Genomic DNA, 23,812 nt, shown 5'->3' with positions numbered 1-23,812 from the left:
ATGTCAAAGCTAAACAGTAGGATTTTATCAGTTCATAATAAGAGAAAAAGCAGGCATGAGAAGCCAAGCTCGTAATAGAGTCCAATCCTCCAGGTGCTGCTTACTCACCTTAGGGAACCCAAAGGTGTTTGTTGTAGCCCAAACCCCAACAATCATCGCAACAGGACTTTTTAGACTGTTGAGGAAACTAGAAGCTGAACTAGGCAACACGTCTTCAAATGGGGCTTGCAGCAGGGACATAGAGGCCACCAGGGACAGGCTGGGGTGGATAAAGGCTACCAAGACTCAGGATATTCTGTGCACTAAGGTGTCCCAGAGACAATGTAGGGTGGTGCCTAAGAGTCAGGCTTCCCACCCAGCTGTCTGGGTTTGAATCCCAGCCATTCCATTACTAAGCGTGTGATCTTGGGTCACTTCATGCTTCTGTGCCTCCATTTCTTCATCTGGGTAGCAATCGTATCTACCTCCTAGGGCTGCTGTCTAGACTTAGGAAGTTCATTCTTATCATGTCTATAACACTGTCCCAGAGACAGTCAGGGCTCAATAAATTTGAGCTACCATCATCATTCTTTCTCATCTCTTACTATACCCCAGGGACCCAGCCTGTAAATGAGCATCCACCCCAAGGTTTCCAGATGGCTCTAGTTCTGAAACCTGTGTTGTCATGCACTTACCCAGTATTAATTTCCTTCTCAAATGCAGTCCTCCGCCTCCTTCTGGACCCCTCCCCTGCACAGCTCCCTGCTCTCTGTAGGATCCAGACGTGGGACTTTGCTCCCATCCTCTCTTGCTGCTGCCTGACAAAGCTACTCACCTCCTTTGGGCCTCATCTGAAAAACCTGAGAATTCCTCCAAGAAAAGCCACCACTTGGGAGCCGGTGACAAGATCCAAGAGCTGGACCATAAGTCCACTGGACCTCAGACCCCTCTTTTCCTAACTCTTTGGCATTATGTTTGGTCTTTACTAGAGTGACCTGGCTTGGGTGGTCTTGCCATCTCTTTCTAAAGGTGAAGAAAGGAGGTATGACACTCCACTATTCAGATTCGTGAGGAAGACCAGGGCAACTTTTTTAACATGCTGGTAGCCCAGGGTTTGGCACCTAAGGAACAAGAGTCATGGAGATTCTTGAAGAATCTTCTCATAGATGAGGTGGGGAAATTTGGCATTGGGCAAGGGCATCACCAGGCTCCTTCACATCACTGCAGCCCCTGGGCCTGCCTTCCTTCCAGGGAGCTTCCTGCCCAGTCCTGGGCCCAGGAGAGTCAGCCAACAGAATCAGGCAACAAGGCTTATTCGAACCAAGAGAACATTTTTTATTGTCAGTAAGAAACAGCAACTCTTCAGAGATGATTGGCTAGAAAAGAAACTGGTTGGTTGTATAAAAAAATGTAAAGTACAAAACTGTTAATCTAAAATAAAATTAAAAAGAATATTTAAAAGGCTTCCTTTTCTGTTAAGTTCTGAGACTTAATAAATGAGATAAAAACAGTTTCTTACACCTAAGAAACTGGGTTATGAAAGCTGTGCCTAGGATGTTGGGGAGAGCACACTGGGAGAAGGCATTCTTGCTGGTACCTTGAGTTCAGGAATCTACGTTGAGGCTTCCTCATCCACCATGATCACAGCCCCAGGGGATGCTGGGCTTGTTAGCATTCAAGCTCTGGGACCTGATTGGCCTCTCTGTCTCCTCTAAGTAAGGACAACTGATGGGGACAGTCTCCCACTCTCTGAGGCTTCGATGTTCCACGCATGGCTTTCCTCTTCCAGAAACTCCCCTCCCTGGCTCTCCCATGCAGCCCTAGTCAGCAGCAGCTCACAGGTCCGTGGACAGCGAGTCTGGGATCTGTTTGCCTTCTTCAGCCGATTTGCTGGCCAGCTTTTGAGAGAATAAACAAGCACAAAACCAAGATGCGATTATCAGATTAAGCACCAAAATGGAGCTTCCCAGTCCTAATCACAAGGGCCTCAACACTGACCCCTGCCCAAAGCCCAGTGAATGTGAGCTGCTATGCCCTTGGCTTTGGCCAGAAAGGCAGTGGTAGACAGTAGAGTGAGCCCAGGCTCACTAGCCATGTGGACTTGGGCACCTCACTTACCAAACCCTGTGAGCCTCCCATATAAAATCCTAAGAGTGGGAGCTCAAATGGCACCATGCTTGGGAAGTGCTTAGCATGGTGCCTGACTCATCGTGTGCTCATGGTAAACTTGAGATATTTGTAGTAGCAGAGTCCTGATTTCATATTACCTTGAGGATCAGATGTGTTATGGTACCTTCTTGATCTTGAGCAAAGGCCAACAAGTAACAATAGGAGATGGGACTTGCAGAATCAGCGCTTGGAAACTAATGTTCAATTTGTAGGATTTTGTGATATAGGTTGAATAAAAAAGGGCTGGAGCACTAAGGGGCAGTTTAGGCGAGGGTAGGCCACCTACTGCTTCTGAGGTCCCTGGGTCCTGCACATCCCTAGCTGGGGTCAATCCTGGTCAGAGGAGCTGCCTGAGGCCCCAGAGGAGAACTGCCCTCTGGGCATTGCTGCACAGTGTCCCAGAACTCAGGGCCTCCTGACTATGCCTCCCTAGGAATGACCACATATGCACACACAACCCCCCATTTTCTTCTCTCTGCATTGCTCTCTTCCCTTTCTCCTCCCAATGCCTTCCTTTCCTTCCACCCTCAATGTCCTCACCATTGTCTTGAAGAACTGATTGACCTTCTTCCGTGTGAGTGTCTTCTTGTCACCATCTGAGAGTTGGAGGAAGGTCTGGCTGAGGCGGGGAGATGTGTTGGCCTCATCCAACCCAGGGATGCCTGCCACTGAGAGCGCCAGGGCTGGAAGGAGAGCAGAGCTGGGGTGTGAATGGGTGGGTAGAGGAGGGGCAGTGCCTTGGGGGAGGTAGACAGGGGGAGGGCTGGGGGACAGAGCCAGCATCCAGGGATCACACATTGTATGTGCCAAGCAGGAGGCAGGATGCCTATTTCCTGCCGTGCCAGGGGACATTGAAGCTGTCCTCTTGCAGTGAAGATTGCCCACCCTACAGACAAGGGTTCAGCCTCCTGGCTCCTGGTCAAAACCTTGCCCCAAAGCCCTGACATCCCCAGGAAACAGAACCTTCTGCTCCAAGGCAGGGGACAGTGTGAGCTTACTCTTCCTCCAGCTCCCAACACCAACACCCTGGATTTCTCTCCCCATTGCAGGAGACAGCGGGAAGAGAGTCTCAAACCCACGTGTCACCTGGTGGAGGGGCCAGATGACCTAGTGGTTACAGCCCCAGCTTGGCGTCACAGAGACATGAAAAATTAGTTACTCTCTGACTGCTGGTTTTGACATTGGCCAAATGGGAGAAAGAGCCCAGACCGCCAGGGTGTGGTGAGACCTGCTGAGCAGATACCAGTGAAATGGCTTGGGCCAAATGTTGCAGCTGTGTTCAGGCTATCCTGGGGGTGGTGGCGGGGCAGTGGGTAGGTGCCTGTTCCAGGGAAGAGGGCCTGGGTCTGAACTCAGTCTCTGCCATTTGCTGGCTGGTGATAGGCAAGAGAGTGATGTTCTCAGTGCCCCAGTTTCCTCATCCATACAATGGGGTGGATAACATGAACTACTTCCTGGGTATGCGCAGTGGAGTAAATGAAATAAAGAAGGAGTAGCAGTTGGCGCAGGGCCTGGCACCCTCAATGTTCAGGAAACAGCAAGCGTCTTCACCATGATCGGCCTGCTGAGTTCCACAGGGCAGCACTGGTCCTGTCTTGTTCCCTTCTGACCTGGCCCTTAGCACACAGAGCCAGGCACATAGCAGCAGACGTCAAGGACTTCTGCCTACCAGATGGAGTGCTCTCAGGCATGCCATGTCCCCTGTTAGGGCCTCAGATTCCCTTCTGTGAGTTAGGACCATCGGCTGTGCTCTAACCTCCTCACTGGACAGTGAGTGAGTGACGACGGTGGCAGATAGGTAGCATCTATGCACCAAACACTTTGCAGCTATAAGATGTGGTGGCCATTTCTGTAAAGCCAGAAAGAGTCTTCCAGGTCCACAAAGAAGCCACAGGTCTTAGGGACATACCAAGGGCAAACTTCTGGCCCCTGGGGAGGCCTGGCTAACTGAGAACAAGGGGCCACCTAGTGTGACAAATGGATGCTCAGTGAATCCTGAGGGCCCAAGGGACAGCAGGCCTCTCCCCTGTCCCTGCTGGAGCTTGCTGGGATGGTGTCACCCCCAGGAAGTGGTGGGTGTGGGGAGAGATTAGAGGGTGGGTGGCTATGAGCAGAGCCTCTCACTCCAGGATGCCTGGCCCACTTTGTTGTGTAGACACAGTTCCCATCCATCCTCCACCCACAAGGCTGGTGGCCTGCACTATCTCTACTCCCTCATGCTGGTGGCAGCAGGGGGCATACCTGGGATGGTAGGCATGGACTGGCTGGCAAAGCTCATTTGAGAGAGGACAGACGCCTTGAGGGGGATGGCCGCATGCTCCGAGAGGTTGGTGTCACTCATGAACTCATGCTTCCTGGAAAGCTGGAGGAATACACCAGACACACACACACACACACAAAGACAGAGGCTTAGCATGAGGCAGATCTGGGTCTCTGAAAGATCAGTGAGGAGGGCGTGGCATGGTTTCTATGAAGCTGGCTCCAAGTTCATTTATTCTGTATTATACCATTCCATGCCAGCCTGCCACATATGGTTGCACAGGTTGCACACTACACAACTACAGGCGGGGGTGGCGGACATTCATTTAGACTATCATGTAAATGGTGTCCCCTAGAATCGACAAACACAGAAGACATTTCCATTCTTATCCATCCACGCAAGAGTAGCCTGCGAGGCCCACTGGGAAGTTTCTGGAGGGCCCTTTCTTCACTAAGGCATCTTGGTTGGCCCCTTGCTCTTTCATTTGGCACCCCTCCCTTGCCAGGGCAGTTAATCCATCTCCCACTCCCAGGTTCCCAGAACACTTCCAACAAACCTCTTTTCCAGGGGGAAACTAAGATTGAATCCAGGGCTGTCTGAAACCAAGTCTCATTTTTAAATAATCGTTAGTTTACAAGACCAACACTCTCAAAGCCAGGACAGTGAGATTTCATCCCTGTATCCCCACCTGGACTCCTGGCACACAGGAGGGGCTTGCAGGGGTCTGAGACATCAGTGGTTAGAATAGGCCTGGGGCTGGGGGCTATAGAAACACCTAGCTCAGTACCAAGTGGGCTGCTCTCCCTTTTGGTGGGAGAACAGGTGGATTCTCCCCAGCCTGGAAAAGCCCTGTGTGATGGTGGAAAGGATACACACAGGCTCTGAAGTGCAAAGGTCAGGGCTCAACTCCCAGCTCTGTCATGTCCCAGCCACCCCAGCTGCCTGGGCACGAGTAAGCACTTCACCTCTCAGCTCCTCAGGTGCCGCCTCTGCAATACCCATAGCACCGCAGTGGCAGGCTTCAGGAAGCCCATATCTGGAAGCCCTGGGTTTTGTGCCCAGCATGTAGTGGAAATGTGCTAACAGCGCTGGAGAGGCAATCTGCCTCAGCCACTCACCCGCTTCAGGTCCGACTCTGCAGCTGCTTTCTCATCCGCAAAAACTACGCTGCTTCTCTTTGTCCTCTTCTTGGACCTCCGCAGCTTGACCTCAGGCAGGGTGCTCCCCGGGGAGATCGGTTCCTCCTGCTCCACTCTCGGCGTCTTGGGTGATGCTAATTCCAGGTCAAAGCTGAAAGGCCAGAGGGGCAGCAATAGAAACTGCAGTTAGAGCTTCAGTAGAACTGCCTTGCAAGGACCCAGGAAGCTGAAGGGGACCTTTGGGCTGCCTGAGCTGTCACTACAGGGTCTGGAGTAGATCAGCAAATCTGGCAGAGGATTTGGGGAGCAACTTGCTCAATGCACAAACAGTTAAATGTGATGAGTAAAGTTCACTTTATTTTATTCGTGGTAAAATGAAATTGAAAGAAGTGAGCCATAGAAAAGAAACTGGTGGTGAGGAGAGAAGACTGGTTGAAAGCATGAATGTGGATTCAAATCCAGGCACGGCCAGTTCTTAGCTGAATGAATAACTTTGGGTAAATCACTCAACCTCTTCAAGCCATCATTTCCTTTTCAGTAAATGGAGGTCTTCGCAGAGACCTTGCAGAGTGGCCATGAGATGATGTCTGAGGAACCCTTGGCATATTCTTGGCATATGGTAAGTGCTGGGTTGCTCATGTATCTATGATTAGAACAGATGAGTTGGGCAGGGTGAATGGTGCCCCCTAGAATTGTGAATGATGCCCCCTAGAACTGTGAAACAGAAGACGTTTCCATCCTTTTCCCTCTGGGCAAGAGTAACCTCTGAGGCCCGCAGGGAAGTTTCTGGAGGGTCCAACAATGATGGCCAGAGGGCTCCAGGAAGGTGGAAGGGGCAAGGGAGGGAAGACCCCCGACAGAGGGGTGGGTAGGTGGTGCAGGAGGAAGAGCTCTGCAATGGAGACATCCCATCGTGGTTGGGAGGAGCTTCCTTGAAAGGGAACAGATCCCTATGAGAGGTGACAATATTCCAGAAGGATGCAGGCTTGGTGAGGAGCTCTGCCTGGCTGACAGAGATCACTGGACTAGAAGTCTGGGGGCTGCAGGTGACTCCTGCTGGGTCCTCAGGAAAGCTGCCTTGCCTCTCTGAGCCTCTGATAATCCCCTAAAAATGGTACTAACCATGAGCCTCCTGGGGTAGTTGTGAGACTGCAGATGGGAAAAGGCTTTTAAACTGAAAGGAGGAAGGGAAAGGTAGAAGGGATGTTGCCGGAGAAGAGAGAGAAGGAGGGGGGATAGAGCCAGGGAGGCAGGGGTGTGGGGGGCTCCTTGGGGTGCAGGGACTGACCTCTCTGAGGTAGGCTTGCTGGGGGTGCTGCAGTCAGAATTCATGGAAGCCAGAGAGATGATGGACATCTGTCTGTATGAGCGCAGCATAGACCTGGGACGGCCCACTCTCCTGTCGTCAAAGTCAGGCTGTGGTGGGAGAACAGGGTGGTTAGCAGCTGTAGCCTGGGGAAGGTGGCCCCAGCCTTCCTGTCACCTTCTTCCTCCACCTAGGCAGGGCAGAGTTGTGGGGCTGAGTGGAGCATCAGCACAAAAGTTCCTGGCTGGCTGAGGCTAGGGCGTTCTTGTAGAATGAAGAATGTGGATGACCTTTACTCCTGGTTCCTGGAAGGTAATATCTAAAACTTTGGAATTTCCTATGTGATAGTAGTATCCTTGTTATTATTCATGGTGGCCCCCTTGACCATACTTGATTTTATGCTAATAAGATGGCTCCTGATGGCCAGAAAGACCAGCTCTATGATTATAGGGCTGGGCTGGGGCTTTAAGCCATGTGGTATCAGCTCAACCTCCAGGGAGTGGACAGGCCCAGAGACTGATTTCCATCACATGGCCAATGGTTCAATCTATCATGACTACATAATAAAACCCCAATAAAAACTCTGGACATTAGGCTCTAGTGAACTTCTCTGGCTGGTAATCATACATCAATGTGCCAGAAGGGGGATGCATCTGGAATACGTGGAAACTTCATGTTTGGGACCCTCCTGGACCTCACTCTGTGTCTCTTTACCTGGCTGGTCTTGATTTGTATCATAAACTGAAATCATAAGTATCATGCTTTCCTGAGTTCTGTGAATTATTCTAGTGAATTATGAAACCTGATGGGGTAGTGGGAATCTCCCAGTTTGTAACCAGTTAGGCAGAAGTGTGGGTGGCCTGGGTCCCTGAAGCTTATGGTTGGTGTTTGAAGTGGGAAGTGTCTAAGACTGTGCTTCTAACCTGTGAAATGTGACCTAACTCCAGGGAGTTAGCACCAGAATTGCATTACAGGGACTTCATGTAGGGAGTATTGAAAGTGACAAACTGCCTCATGGAAAAAAATCTTTGAATCAAGAGACCTGAGTGCATCTGTAGGTTCTTCCAGTAATTCACTTTTCTTCTCTGGGTCTCAGTTTTACCATCTGTAAAATGGGAAGGCTGGACCAGATGGTTTTAAAGGAATTGCATGGCCTTGACATTTTATAACACCAGTTAATAAGGAAAAGGATGAAGAAGCACCCCGTAAGCACCAGGCTCATGGCCTCTTTAGGCCAAGGAGCTCAGCGGTCAAAATCACTGGCCTTAAACTAACAGAGCCAGATGCAAATTCTGCCCCACATTCATTTGCCACATAGCCTCTGGCAAGTTGCCTGACCTTCTGAACCTCAGAAGAAATACAAAGGATTAAAAATCTTTCCTGCCTCTCAGGCTTGTGGTGAGGATTAAATGACCTAGTAGATGTCAAGTGCTTGAATCAGGCCTGGCACATAGTAGATGCTGCATCAGTGTAGCTTTCATTATTATTACACAGTCCCTTGAGTAGTTGGTATCTGCACAATCCAGTTGTAACTGGAGTTTGTCTGGGGGTTACTTTTGCTGGACCAAGTTTCCAGGAGGGTTCCCCTGGATGGGATCCAGCAATGCTGGCCATCATTATCTTCTCTTTGGAAGCAGCTTCCTTTGCTGGATCCCCTCCAACTTCAGCCTCCAGCATGCTTCCCTGCCCCACCCTGCACAATCCCACCCCTCCAAGCCATAGGAACCACCCATACCATCTCTCGGACACCGTACTCCTTCTCCACCTTCATTTTCAGGTTCTTGAAACATTCCTCCATCCGGTCATGGAAGGGTCGCAAGTTATCTGACACCCTTTTCTCATGGATCTTAATCCCAGCTCCCAAGAAGGGGATCTGGAGAGAAAGTGGTAAAGAATGAGCCAGAGGCTGACCGGTGGGCCTCAGCCTGGCACCCCGCCCATCAAGGCAGCTGCAGTCAAGTCTGCCTGCTAAGAATTCATCAAGGGCTTCAGGGTCCTCAGAAACCTGCACACACGGTCCCCAGCCATGGGAAATGGGGAAAGTTGCAAACATGAGGTTTGCTCTGGAAAGGAGAGAAAGACCCCCAGCTTCCCTTGCCTCATAGGAGGGCTGGACTCCCCTCTTCCCCATGAAAGGCCACATGGTTGGGAAAATTGCCCCCTTAAAGAATCTACTTGGGGGCAGAGTGTGGGGATCAGAGGAGGGGAATCTCTGTTGCATTGATTTAAAACCTTGCCTAAGATGTTCTTGGCAATACTAAAGTGAAAGGATGAATGTCAGAAGCTGAGAGATAGAGGAAGGCAAGAGCTGAGAGAAAACAGAGGAGGGGGCATAGCCTCATCTTACCACATGGAGCCAATTGCACTTCATACAGCTGCTGAAGAAGGATATGAATGTGCTAATATCATAAAGTTAACCCCCCAGTAGGGAGCTCTGAAAAATGATAATAAAAGCCTTAGGAAGATGAGGGAAGAAGAGAGGATTGATGTGAGGGAGTTGAAGTCTTATTTGTCCCCATAGGAGGTCAGTGGATACTGTCTAAGTGTCAGCTACCTTAAGGGAGAGTAGCAGAGCCATGGTGGGCACTGTCAGAAAGAGAACTGAGAACTTTAGTTGTGTGGTCTCAGGGAAACATAACCAGGGGAGCAAAGGGGTAGATTATGAATTACTTGGGGGAAAAATTGCTTTCATGATGGTGACATAAAGATATTTCTGCTTACTTCTATTGGAGGTCTCCCAGAAATGACAAGGTGAAGGAGAAACTGAAATCTTCAGTGAAACTTGGAGACATTCATAAACCTGCCACACAATATGTGTGCCAGGAGGTGGGAGGACATAACTGACCTTCCAGAGCTTCCAGAGCAGAGGAGGGAGGTGGTGATAAGAAGCCAATCTGCCTACATGAAGCCAGGAGGGCCTCAGAGATTGGAGGCACCAGGTACTACAGAGAAGGCGGGTGAGCTGAGGGGCCAAACACAGAGGAATGTGTTGAAGTTCTGTATCAGGAGCAGTTAGATTGCCTGACTGCCTCACCCTGCAGCCAAGTGTTCTTTTTTCCCATTTTCCCAAGAAGGAGGAGTTTATCCTCTAGAACAATTAGAACAAGGAGCTCTGGGCTTAGGGGCATCAGGCACAACAGAAGGCAGAAGCAGAAGCCAGACTGCAAATAAGAAGTTGAAGAGAAAGTCTGCATTTGGGTCCTGAGAGCTCCACTTCCCAATTCCCAAATGGCCAGCAGAGTAGCAGCTGGGATTATCTTTCTATATAACAGCTTGAAGGGTCTGACTCTGGAGAATGTGAATGGTCCCATGTAGAGAGAGACGTCTGTGGGTCATTCCGTTGCCACACAGCAATGCTACCCAGTTGCCAAGGCCCTCTCTCTTGTACTCAGATTTTCTTTTTCTTTAGCCTTGCTCTTAACTATGAAGAGAATGCCAAGTATCACCAGACACTGGAGGAAAGTCTCCAATAGGAAAGACAGAGACCAGACCAACAGATAGGGAAGAAAGCAAATAAGGAAGAAAAGAAGGAAAGAATAAAGGAAGAAAAAACAGAATGAATTTGGAAGAAATAGAATAAAGAGAGCCTAAGAAAACATGTTTTTCTAAAAAATTTAACTAATATATAGGAACAGAAAAGATCCTTCATTCATGAAAAAGACAAAGATTTTATATAAAAAAGGAAGCTAATGGAAAAACTACATATAAATAGTAGTGAGATAAGGTTGTAAACGGAGATACATTTATGGCTTTAGTTTTACATATTAGAAAACACAGAAAATAAATTAGCTAAGCATCCATCTCAAGATATTAGTAAAAGAACAGCGAACTAAATTCAAAGGGAGAAAAGGAATGAAAATAATAAAGGTGAGAGTGGACACGAATAAAAATAGAAAACAAATTTACAACAGAGAGGATCAACAGAGCCAAAATTTGTTTCTTTGAAAAGATACAACATTAACAAACTCCTAAGAAGACTAATCAAGAAAATACAAGGTACTAATAACCAATATTAGGATTGAAAAACATAATTACAAGAAGTACAAACATAAAAGATCATAAGATGAGTGTATTACAAAAAGTTAACAAACAGAAAATAAAATTTAAAAACAATACCATTTACAATAGAATTTAAAATATCAAATACCAAAGAGCAGATCTAATAAGATATATGAAAGAAAATAAAATATGTGAAAACCACAAAATTTTGCTGAGAGAAATTAAAGAACTATATAAATGGAGAGCTAGTCCATGTTCATGGATGAGAAGATAGCCATTCTCTCCAATTTAATCTAATAGTTAATGTACAATTAATCCAAATCTCAATGTGTTTGGGAGGAGTGTGTAAACATTGGCAAGGTTATTTTAAAATTTATAGAGAAATACAAAGGACTTAGAAGAGGCAAGACACACTTGATGAAAAGCAACAATTGGGGTACACTGACTATTAGATTTCAAGACCTAAGATGGTGTGGTATTGGTATAAGCATGGACATAGACCGATGGATCAGAATAGAAAGTCCAGAATAGAAAAACACATATATGGTCAATTTGGGGGGTCAAAAGTGGGGGAAAATAGTCTTTTCAACACATGGTGCTAAAGAAATTGGAAATCTGTGTAAGAAAATAATCTGCCTCTTACTTTACATCAGTCAAAAAGGATCATACACCTAAATGTATAAGACAAAACAATAAAAACTCAGAATAAAACATAGGAGAATATCTTCATGATCTTGGGGTAGTTGCGGTTTCTTAAAGTGGACACAAAAGCACTAATCATTTAAAAATATGATAAATTAAACCTGACCAAAATTACAACTGCTGTTCATCAAAATACATCATTAAGAAAGCAAACAGACAAGCCAGACTAAGAGAAGATATTTGCAATACATATATTTGACAGAAGATGCATATCTAGAATATATAAACTCCTATAAATCAATAATAAAGAGACAACTAAATTAACAACATAAGTAAAAGATTTGAAAAAGTATTTCACAAAAGGGTAATCCAATTAGCAGTAAGCATATGAAAAGGTGCTGAACATCATTGCTCATGAAGGAAATGCAAATTAAAACTAAACTGAGATATCATTACACATCCACCAGAAGGACTAGAATTAAAAAAGACTCCCAGTATCAAGTGTCAGGGAGAATGTGGATCAACTGACTTAGAAGTTGTGTGGGAGTGAAAATTGATTTAGCCACTTTGAAAAACTGCTTCTTGTGTCCAGTAAGGTTAAATGTGCATGGCCCAGCAATTCCACTACTGCATGTATACTGAGGGAACTGGGTGCTTAGGTCCACCAAAAGGCACAAACACGAATGTTCATAGCAACTTTACTCATAATATACAACACCTGAAAACATCCAAATGTCCAACAGAACGGATAAATAAATTGATATATTATTGGTAATTTAGATACACATACAATAGATGACACTTAGAAACAACAAAAAAGTCAAACCTCTAGTATGTGTAACAACCCAGAGGAATCTCAAAGGCATTATATTGAGCCAAAGAAGCTACAGATACAGTAGTACATACTGTACTGTATAATACAATTTATAAGAGGTTCAAGAACAGGCAAAATAACCTAACCTATGGTGATAGAAGATTGGCAGTACCTATGAAAGCTGAATATCCTCACATGCTATGACCAAGCAAATCAATGCATAGGTATATACCCAACAAAAATTTTGCATATGTGTACCAAAAAAACACACAAGGAAGTTCAGAATAGCATTACTTATAATAGCCCCAAGCTGAAATAAACCCAATTCTCTATTAGTATAAAAATAAATAAATGCATTTTGGTATAGTTACATAAGCCAGCTGTACGGACTACTATATAGCAATGAAAATGAATGTGAATCATAGTTATGACTCATAAACAAAATGAATGACTTTCACAAACATAACATTGGGCAAAATAAGTTAGATACGAAAGACTGTATATTATGTGATTCTGTTTATATGTAGGTCAAAATTAAGCAAATCTAAACTATAGTGTTTAAGAATGAGTGTTTGGGTGGTAAAGTATTTTTTTTAAAGCAAGGAAATGATTACTATAAAAACAGAACAGTGCTCACTCTTAGGGAAGGAGGCCTAAGATAGGATTAGGGGAGCTAGCAGAATTCTATTTCATCTGGGTGGTGGTCAAACGGATGTATGTTTTTGATAAATCAGTGGGTTATATATTTTTATGTGTACTTTTCTGTACATAATATTTCACAACAAAAGCTTTAAAAGAAGAGCATACTATAGACATCTTTTTATGCCAAAAAATAGAAAGTCTTCAGAAAGAAAATAAATTAACAAGCTATCGATCTTGAAATCTGCAAAAACGTTGAACACCAAATGTACTTTGAAGGCTTCAGCATTTGTTCGGTTGCTAGAGGTACAAATACATTCACTCCCCTTGAAATCTAACCTTCTCGTGTTTTAAGTAAATTCAAAGTGTATTTGGCTTTGCAAAACCAAAATCCAACATAGAATTAAGCTCCAAGTGAGCAGGGAGCAGGCCCAATTTTGTCCATCACTATTACTGTTGCCTAGGACACAACAGAGGCTCAATAAATATAAGTTGCAAGAACAAACGGAATGAAACAGGTAGGGAAGAGCTAATCTGCTGCATGTGATAATGTTAAAAGGCTGCCTTCACTATGAGCAGGACTGCATCTTTTGCATGCGGGTGCCCATAGTTAGGGTGCCTGGGCGCTGGGTGGGAGGGATATGGCTGAGGTCAACCTCGTTTGGGGGTTAGGTGGGCCTCTGTATAGGTGGTCTCAGGAGCAGCGGGTGGTGCTAAGGAGAAGGCGGCCACTAGGGGGCGGTGTCTGAAGGCGCCTAGCTAACGGTTCTCAGAAGCCGCCACATCTAATAGAGTACATGCTTTCAAAGCCTTCCGGCTTTGTTGGTAATGTCCCTCTAGTAAGCTCCAAGACAGTAGTAGAATTTTCTTGGAAGGTACAGCTTGGTATTCGCTGTGCTGTGAAGCTGCAGTTCATTCTTTGGGTACAGTAAACACAGCATGGAGAAGCTGTTTCCAGAGGAGAAGAGGTCCCCAGTGGAGAGGACCAGGGCAATTGTATAGATTCAGAGTGACATCCAACAACTAAGCAAATCTGTATGACATGTTAGCCTTCCCTGAGGCCTCCCAGCAATATCTGAGGATGGGAACGAGTCAAAGCCTGGCCTTCCTGCTTCCCAAACTGGGGATGCTAAGGGAGAACATCATTATTTGAATAATAAAGGGCATGACGACCCCAGAAGGCTGGGGACCTGGGGGATATTTGGGCTTCACAGGTGGCACAAGGTAAAAAGAAAGAGAAAATTCCAGACAGACACACAACATGCATTCGGGAAAAGCGCGTCTGTGCAGTGCTTGGTGTTTCATTTTTAAAGCCCCACTTTGCATAAATTGGCAGAGGCAGAGAAGGACCTGAATTAGGAATTCTTATTTTAAGAAAAGAGGCTGCACCCAATGCTTCTCATTCCCTGATTTCCCTAGAGTAACAAAAACTCCCAACCACAAAAGCTTGCTTTTCTTTGCACAGTGACTGGCAAGAAGAAAGCGAGGGAGGGCAGGCAGCTGCAAGCTGCTACCACCTGCCCCTGCATCCACTGCTCACCTCCCGCCAGCTCCTGCCCTCCGGAGCCCACCCCTGTGTTCTGATGGGTGGTTTGCTGAGAGCCCAGAGTGGGCGAATGTCTGAGGAGGGGGCTGCTCTGGGCCTGGAGGGAAGCCTAGCCCTGTGTAAGCCTCTATGAGAGGGATCTAGCCGACTGTTGCTTCTGCAGGGAGATGGAGAATGAGACAGAAGAGGAAGAGAAGCCAAGAGAGGAGTAAGATGTGTGGGGGTGGGGGGCAAAAGACAGAGAGGCAAGGAATAGAAGTGCAGGCTTCTAAGAGAGAGAGGGAAAGACAGACAGATGCACAGAGAGAAAGAGAGAAAGGAGGAAAGACAGAGTCCACAGGAAGAAGAGGGATGCAAAGAGAGAATGGAAGGAGAGGCAGGTAAGTGGCCAGCCCGAAACAGCAGGGTGGTAACTTCTAAGCCCGTGGGCTGAGCAGCGGCTTGTGTGGGATGTAGACCCTTTGACTCACAACCACCCACACAAAGGCCTCAATTATTTTCAAAACCTGATATCCATCTGAGCATTATTGCAACAAAGTGGGTCAGCTCTAAAAGGAGGAGAAGTGGGAGTAGGGGCTCAAGTCTTCTATTATCAGATTGGCCTGTGCTGGGTGTCGGGGGAAGGTGCTGGTTTGGAGTGTGGGGGCCTGGTGTTTATTTGCATCCCGCTGTGAAAAGCCATCCCCTGAATTCAACATCAAATAAGATAATCTTGGCACCATCCAGCATAGCATTGCTGCCTGGCACCATGCAACACCCAAGAGTGCGATGCCCCAAATCTCTGTTCCAGGATGAACCTGCTCAGGTGTGATACAGAGTTGGAAGAGGGGCTGAAAAGCAAGGGACAGGAGGGCATGTGAATTCAGGCTGCCTCAGCTAGAGCCTAGCGTGGGGCAAGTGAACCACGGTGGGGGGAGAGGAAGGAGAGCAGCATGCTCCCCTGGCCAGCGCTGCCTCACCTGCCATGCAATCAGGTCCTTGAGGTGGGTCAGCTTGTCCTGGTCCTCAGGGTGGTCCCTGACATACTCTTCAGTGAAGAAGGCCTGGGGAGGACAGATAGGAGGTCAGGGTTTCCTGTTCATGTGGCATTTCACAGCCAATCTCTTTGGCACTGGGAGAAGATTCAATTTGAAAGGGGCAAGGATGAGGTCACAGGCATGTGGATGGAACAAGAGTAACAGGTCTGGAGAGACTGACATTGTTTTATCTGCTTTGAGGCTCAGATCAGCACCCAGTGGGAATGGGCTGCAAACTCTGGGGAAGCTGTTCTCAAAGTCAGGTTCCTGAGCCAGTAGCAGCAACAGTACTTTGGAACTTGTTAGAGATGCAAAGTCTCTAGCCCCAGCCCAGACAGCCTGAATCAGAAACTCTGGGGGTGGGGTGAGGACCCGTGTGTCAGGAAGCACTGTAGGGGATTCTGATGCTCCTTTCAAGTTTGAGAACATTGCTCTGTGGAAAATAATTCAGTAAGGAATCTCACTGGTGGGTGTTCCAGCTCACCTCATGGCCTCCCTCATTGCAAGTGACCCTGGCAGCCCCTTTCTGGGGCTCATGTCCTTAGTGTGTGCTCATGTATAAACAGACATATCCCATCACTGCTCAAGGCTGAGCAAAGGGTTACCAATGATGACTGCATGGGTATCTGAGGGTAGTTGGAAGGATTGATTAGGTGACTGGAATTATTGTCCCCAAATTATACTACTGTGTGGTATTCTTAGTTTTACATCAATGGATAACATAGGAAAGATAATAGGGAATTCATCAAAAGATTTGTTAGAATGAGGAGTTCATTTTTCCTTCAGTGTCTGCTAGGTGAAAACCAAGTAAGAACTTTCTACTCTATTTCAATGCCAAGAACAGCTACGTATCCTTACTGAGAAATGGGTATTTTTCCTTCCAGTGGATAATGTAACTCATATAAGTGATGCTATTTCCTTTTTTGCCGTGAACACCAGGAAGCTCAAAAATAAATCTGTGGCTCAAACATGTGGGGCTTTCTGGAGGGACCTTATGACCTTGATATCTAGATTATAGCTCCCCTTTTGGAGTTGATCTCTTAGTTTTTATGGCTTTTCACAGATTCTGAGTTTCATTTCTTTCCATTAGTATACATCATTTCACATCCTCTGTGGAAGAGGTGGGTTTATACAACTGGCACGTACTTTTATGGTCTGGCTCACACTCATCCCAGAGCCTTTCCTTAATAGAGCCACCTGAATCTGCCCAGTGAGATAAGGGGACCTTATGACCCCTGCCCCTTCCTGCCCCTCCCTGCCCCAGCACAGGGTATGGAAAAGAGGCTGGGAGGAAGACAGGAGCTCAGCTAAGACATGAGGCTATAGAAACATGAGGGCCAACCAAGCTGAGGGTCCCTCTGGGGACAAGGACAGTCAAAGTAGGATAAGTGACATGTACCTGCATCTGCCCCCTGGGTCCTCCCACCACTGCTCTGCTCACCGAGCTCCCCTAGACTTGGAGAACAGAAATCCTCACCTTCTCATACTTGGCGAAGCCTCCCATGACAGCAGGGTCCACAATCCCGTTCAGGAGCATGGAGAGTGGGTTGATGGGGAGGGTCTCATCACTCTGGTACTGGTTTATCATCATCAGGATCTTCTCATTGGCCGTGGACATGGTTTCTATGGCATTCTCCAGAGGACTAATTGTGGTCTGTTGAAAATGAGATCACCAAGAAGAAAGGGCCTTAGTTAAGTCACTTTAAAAACAGATATTATTGGTATTGATTTCACTTGGGGTGGGAATTCAAATGAGGCAATGCTCCCTAAGGGGCTGTAACAGGATCTTGTAATTACTGAGCTCTGGGGGCTGTCTGCTCTCTGGGGAGAGACAGGCTGGCTTTCTGCTTAGTGAGAAAGGGATTTCTTTGGGGAGGCAGAAGCAGGAAGTGTCAGGTACCTGCTGAGTGTGCCCCAGAGAAGGTTTTCTCTTCTTATTATCTGGGTGAAACACATGCCAATTCAACCCTTTCAGTATTGGTTGGGCAGATACTATGTGTGAGTTATTGGCCAGAGAGATTAGAGCAGCTTGCGATGTGGGCACCCAGCCTGGCACATAGTAGGTCCTAAGACTGGTTGTTAGAGGGGTTCACTGTTCCAAGGTAGATTCACTTTAGTTGGGAAAATTAAACAGAACACCTGTCCAACACCTCTTAGAAGGCGATATAAACAGAGTGCCATCAAAAGCTAACCGGCAAAAAGTGCAGTTTGCAAGAGCATGAGATCTGGAGTAGAAACCTAAAGTAGAGGTCGGCAAACATTTTCTGTAAAAGGGCCAGATAGTAAATATTTTAGGATTTGCAGGCCAGATGGTGTCTGCTGCAACTACTCAACTCTGTTATTGTAGGGCAAAAGCACCTACAGGCAGTATGTAAATGAATGAGAATGGCTGTTCCAATAAAACTGCAGAAATAGGTGACGGGTAGAATTTAGTCCATGGGCCACAGTTTGCTGACCCATGAACTAAACAGAAACAAACTAAATAAAAATCTTAAATTTGTTAAGACTTGTTTTGTGGTCTAACACACGATCTATACTGAAGAGTGTTCCATGTGCACTTCAGAAAAATGTGTCTGCTGTTGCTGTGGGGTGGATTGTTCTGTATATGTCTGTTAGGTCCATTACGATCTAAAATGTAGGTTAAGTTCAATGTTTTCTTATTGTTTTTCTGGCTAAATGATCAGTCCAATGTTGAAAAGTTAGGTATTGAAATACCCTACTAACATTATGTCTCCCTCTAGATCTCCTAATGTCTACTTTATATATTTAGGTGCTCCAACATTGGGTGTATATGTGTTTACAATTTTTATATCCTCTTGATGAACTGACCCCTTTGTCACTATATAATGACCTTGTCTTTTGTTTTGTTTTTTTTTACAGTTTTTCATTTAAAGTCTACTTTGTCTGAAATAAATATAGCTGCCCCTACTCTCTTTTTAAAAGTTTTCATTTGCGGGAGGCCGAGGTGGGCAGATCACGAGGTCAGGAGATCGAGACCATCCTGACTAACATGGTGAAACCCCGTCTCTACTAAAAATACAAAAATTAGCCAGGCGTTGTGGCGGGCGCCTGTAGTCCCAGTTACTCGGGAGGCTGAGACAGGAGAATGGCATGAGCCCAGGAGGCGGAGCTTGCAGTGAGCTGAGTTCGCGCCACTACACTCCAGCCTCGGCGACAGAGCGAGACTCTGTCTCAAAAAAAAAAAAAAAACAGTTTTCATTTGCATGGAATATATTTTTCCATCCCTTCACTTTCAGTCTATGAGTGTCTTTAAAGGTGAGGTAAGTCTCTTGTAGGCAACATATCTGATACAGTTTGGCTCTGTATCCCCACCCAAATCTCATCTTGTAGCTCCCATAATTCTCACATGTTGTAGGAGGGACTTAGTGGGAGATGACTGAATCATGGGGGCAGGTCTTTCCCATGCTGTTCTTGTGATAGTGAATGGGTCTCACAAGATCCCTTTTTTAAAGGGAATTTCCCTGCACAAGCTCTCTCTTTGCCTGCTGCCATCCACGTAAGATGGGACTTGCTCCTCCCTGCCTTCCTCCATGGTTGTGAGGCCTCCCTAGCCATGTAGAACTGTAAGTCCAATAAACGTCTTTCTTTTGTAAGTTGCCTAGTCTCAGGTATGTCTCTATCAGTAATGTGAAAACGGACTAATATACAATATCATTAGGTTTTTTTGTTGTTGTTGTTCAGTCACTCTATTCCTTTTGATTGTTGAATTTAATCCATTTACATTCAAAGTCATTACTGATAGGTAAGGACTTACTAATGCCATTCTGTTCATTGTTTTCTGGTTATTTTATAGATCCTTTGTTCTTTTTTTCCTTTATTACTTTCTTCCTTTGTGATTTGATGGCTTTCTGTAGTGATATGCTGTGGGTCTTTTCTTCTAACTTTTGTACATCTATTATAGGCTTTTGCTTTGTGGTTACCCTGAGGCTTACATAAAACATACATATAACTGGCTATTTAAAGCTGAAAACAACTTAACTTTGATCACATACACAAACTTCAATTTTACTCCCTCTCCTCCCATGTTTTAAGTTTCAGATGTCACAATTTACATGAAAAATAATTTCTATCTTTAACAAACTATTAGAGCTTTAGGTGTCTTTTTATATTTTTTTTGCCTTTAAATCTTTATACTAGATAATTGATTTGCCCACCATCATTAAAGTATTAGCATGTTTTGGATTTGACAATGTACTTATTTTTTAACACTAAGTTTTATATTTTCATATTTTCACGTTACTAACTAGCATCCTCTTCCTTCAGCTTGAAGAACTACCTTTAGTATTTCTTATAAGGCAGGTCTAATGGTGCTTAACTCAGCTTTTGTTTGTTTGAGAAATACTTTTGGTTCTCTTTGGATTTATCTGATTTGTTGTCCTTTGGGCTTTCTGGATCTAGATTTCTAGTTTCTTTTCTAGATTTGGGAAGTTTTCTGTCATTTCTTTGGATATGTTCTCTGTTCCTTTCTCCCTCTCTCTTCTTATTTTGGTACCTCAATAATGTGTATGTTGTTACACTTGATGGTGCCCCATAATTCTCTTATACCAGTCTCATTCTTTTTCATTCTTTTCTTTTTGCTCCTCAGGTTATATGATTTCCAGTGATTTGTCTTCGAGTTTGCTCATCCTTTCTTCTGCTTGATCTAGTCAGCTATTGAACCCTTCTATGGCATTTTTCAGTTCAGTTATAATATTCCTAAGCTCTATGATTTCTGTTTGGTACACTTTATGCTTTCTCTTTGTTAGAATTCTCGGTTTGTTCTTGCATTGCTCTCCTGTCCTTGGTGAGCATCTTCATGAGCATTATTTGGATTCCCTGCTGAGTAAATCACATGTCTTGACTCCACACATTTCGGTTTCTGGAGATTTATCTTGCTCCTTTACTTGGAATATATTACCCTGTTTCTTCATTTTCCTTCAGTGTCTGTGTTGGTTTCTCTGCATTAGATAAGACAGCTCTCTCTCCCAGTCTTGTCAGACTGGCCTTGTGTAGAAGAAGGATCTGACCAAGCCATCCAGTGTGAAATGTTAGGGTTCCTCTCAAATCTCTCTGTTTGTCCAGACTGCTGTCTCTGTTTTTTGTAGACCCCTATAGTTTAGGATGTGCCACTTCCTGTCAGTACCCAGTGACAGATAAGGCAGGGGCTAGACTCTCTAGATGTAGCTGGAAAGGTGGGGGTATTAAATGTGTGTTCCAGTTTTTTCCATCTTCATGGTGAAGCTGAGCATGGGCGATTACCTCTCACTCTCTCTGCCCTAAGCTGGGGAGAGAATCTGTGGCAAGTGCCTAGACTCAGGTTCAGGCCGCACCCTCTGCTTCTGGGGATATAGTTGTTGAAATTGGACCCATTGTATATCCACCTCTTTTTGCTGTGGTCTAGGGCCACTCAGGAAGACAAAGTCCCATTGACTCCCAGAGCTATATCCTTAAGAGGACAGTCCCTTGGGTGGGAGCTCTAGTGTGGCACTTGGTATGTGGCCAAACTCCTTGCAGGAAGAATGGATAGACCTGGATTTATCACTAGGTTGAGACAGAGGAAAGGCTAGTGAAGTGCCAACCTCTGGCTCTGGCTGCTGGAGAGCTATTGTTTGTTTGCCCTATTAGCTTCCTGATGCAAGTTTGTTAGCTGCCAGGCCATCAAGTAGCCACTGGAAGTGTGTGCCCCTTCCAGAAAGAAAATGGGAGCTGTTAATTTCTGCCCACTTTCTGCACTGCTCCAAGGGGATGTAACCCCTGGAAGTGTTTGTGCACCCATTTAAAACCATCTCTCTGTTCTGTGATCTGGGGAGAATTGCATATGCCTGCTCCCTTCTGTTCCCAGAGCTAAGAGGTTTAGATGGAGTCCTTTTAGAAATAGATCTAAAAGTTGGGACATTCAATGCATAGCATAAACCTCATCTAGGGAGGAATAGGGGGTTGCAATTTTTTAAGCCCTTTCTCTGCACCAACTCTCAGGGAATGAAGCCCTGGAAGTGCTTTCATGCCTGTATAAAACTGCTGCTTTTTTTTCCTGTGGTCTTTGGCGACATGCATATGCCAGTCCCCTCTGCTCCCAGAGCTAAGGTGTTTAGAATATAGCCCTTGGGTGGAAGCTGTAAAAGTTGGGAAACTCAATGTGTGCACAGACTCCTTCCAGGAGAGATTAATAAACCTGTAGTTATTGCTAGGGTGAGCCAGGAGGCAAGGTTTGAGAAGTGACAGCCTGCTTCTCAGGCTGCCAGTGGGTTAATATTTGTTTGCCCCTTAACTCCTCAGTGGAAGTTATGTAGAAGCCAGGCTGCCAAGTAGCCACTGGAAGAGTGTGCCATAAATGCCTTCTGGGGAGAAGCAGGGGATTCCATTTTTAAAAGACCCTTTACTACACTCCTCTCAGGGGATAGGATGCCTGAAAGTTCATGTGCACCCATATAAAACCACTGATTTTTTCCTGTGGTCTAAAGAGACTTGCATATGTCTAACTCTGCGCAGTCTCAGAGTTGATAAGTTAAGAGCCAACCCATGAAGAACCTCAGAATTAGAATGGTATATGTGAGGTCCAAGCCCTCCTGGGGAACCTTAGAATTAGGGTAGTATATGTGAGGTCCAAGCCCTCCTCTCCACAGGGAGAGAAGATGAGTACTGGGAATTTCTTTCCTGATTTTATAGCACAGTGTCAGAGCAGGGTGCATGCCTGAGTGTGCCTCAGCTTTTCATATCGGTTCAATGTGGATGTTTACTCAGTGCCTGGTAGGTAGAAGTCCCTCACTTCATCTCTGAGTTTCTCTCAGAGGGAATTGATCCATGAGTAGATATTTATCTGGTGCATTTGGGGGTGGAGGGAGACCCAGGAGCTTCCTAGTCTGCTATGTTGCTAATTGTCTTCTTGGTCATCTTTTAAAACCATTTCTGTGAAATTATAGCCTCCTTACTCCCTTACCCTGAGTCTGGATGTTTCTGAAGATGACTGATCTCTACAGTGAGAAGGCCCTGGGAATTGACTGACTCACTCTCTCTGTCTCTCTCTCTCTCTCTCTCACACACACACACACACACACACACACACTCATATACATACACACATAGATACACATATACATGCATCCACACATGCACACCCTGGGCACACCCACACACCCTACAACTGCACATGCATGCACACACATAATGTTAACTGAAGGAGAACAATGTCCAGCTTGGCTGCAGCCATAGTCCTCCAAGGTGAAACCCACGGTCTAGTATCTGTCAAGTACACAGACCAACTCTGGGGGGGCTCTGAGGGGCCAAGGTGTAGACTGAGTTGTACTGAAAATCTATCACCACCGCTCAGATTGAGCCCAGCAACACACCTGCATTTGAACAATAGACTGCCATATCTGAAAGACTCAGGCTTTAAGACAAGTCATTAAAAATGGAAAGAGCAGTTGATTGGCTTTCCTCCTTGCTTTTGAAACTATTTTTAGATTCCCAAAGTGTTAGCCTCATTATAGCCATTAGGAACAGAGAAAGAGAATGAAAATAATTTTGGCTTCTCGCCTACGGGCATTTGTATAAACCAAATATGTAACTTTCAGGTCATTACAGGGGTTGTATAGTTGGTGAAAGGCCTAGATTTCAGAAGTTAAACCCACGGTTTAGCTAATAACAGGAATAAAAGTAATGATCATGATAATGAAGATGACCTCACTTATCAATTGCCTCCTATGTGCCAGCCCATGCTGGCCACATTACACCCATGCTCATTTCATTCCCCCAGCAATATGTTAAGTCACTTATCCCTGAGCCACGGGGCAGAGCTGGAAAGACAACTCGGGTATTTGTGATTCCAAAGGCAGGCTTCTTCTACTACACGTAAATCAAGCTTTGATACCACACTTGCTATCAACGGGCTGTTGGGACTTAATCTAGCCCTCAAATCTCTGGTCTTTTCCCTAAGCTGAGCCTCAGTTTCTTTATCGACATAGTAACTCTTGCCAGGCTTGCTGTGAAGAGAAAATGAATTATCAGGGGAGGGTGCTTTGGAAAAAAATGTAAAAGTGTGTGTGGATGGGTGAGGGAACATAAGATGAAAGAGAAAGTGATCTCAATCCCTGGCAATTAGGTGGCATTTCATATTTTTCTTTTTTTAATTTTTTTTTAGATGGAGTCTTGCTCTGTTGCCCGGGCTGGAGTGCAATGGCATGATATCGGCTCACTGCAACCTCCGCCTCCCGGGTTCAAGTGATTCTCCTGCCTCAGCCTTCTGAGTAGCTGGGATTACAGGTGCATGCCACCATGCCCAGCTAATTTTTGTATTTTTAGTAGAG

The 23,812-nt window shown here is 45.6% G+C and overlaps 1 protein-coding gene across 2 annotated transcripts in view; it reads right to left on the bottom strand.

The window, feature by feature from the left end:
• Positions 1,291-23,812, bottom strand: part of DOCK2 (dedicator of cytokinesis 2) — a 446,108-nt gene continuing 423,586 nt past the window's right edge. For both annotated transcript variants that reach the window (NR_156756.1, NM_004946.3), the window contains 8 exons: positions 16,987-17,163; positions 15,453-15,536; positions 8,589-8,726; positions 6,836-6,963; positions 5,527-5,698; positions 4,390-4,510; positions 2,689-2,831; positions 1,291-1,877 (listed from right to left, as the gene is read on the bottom strand). Coding sequence is in view for 1 of the 2 variants with exons in the window: in NM_004946.3 (NP_004937.1) it covers positions 1,815-1,877; positions 2,689-2,831; positions 4,390-4,510; positions 5,527-5,698; positions 6,836-6,963; positions 8,589-8,726; positions 15,453-15,536; positions 16,987-17,163 (1,026 nt within the window). In the remaining variant the exon portion in view is untranslated. The remainder of the gene's footprint in view (positions 1,878-2,688; positions 2,832-4,389; positions 4,511-5,526; positions 5,699-6,835; positions 6,964-8,588; positions 8,727-15,452; positions 15,537-16,986; positions 17,164-23,812) is intronic.

Source organism: Homo sapiens, chromosome 5, assembly GCF_000001405.40.
Source record: "Homo sapiens chromosome 5, GRCh38.p14 Primary Assembly".
NCBI classification, from domain to species: domain Eukaryota; kingdom Metazoa; phylum Chordata; class Mammalia; order Primates; family Hominidae; genus Homo; species Homo sapiens.
The sequence above is the reverse complement of the archived record's forward strand: the minus strand, read 5'-3'. Positions and strand labels throughout refer to the sequence as shown.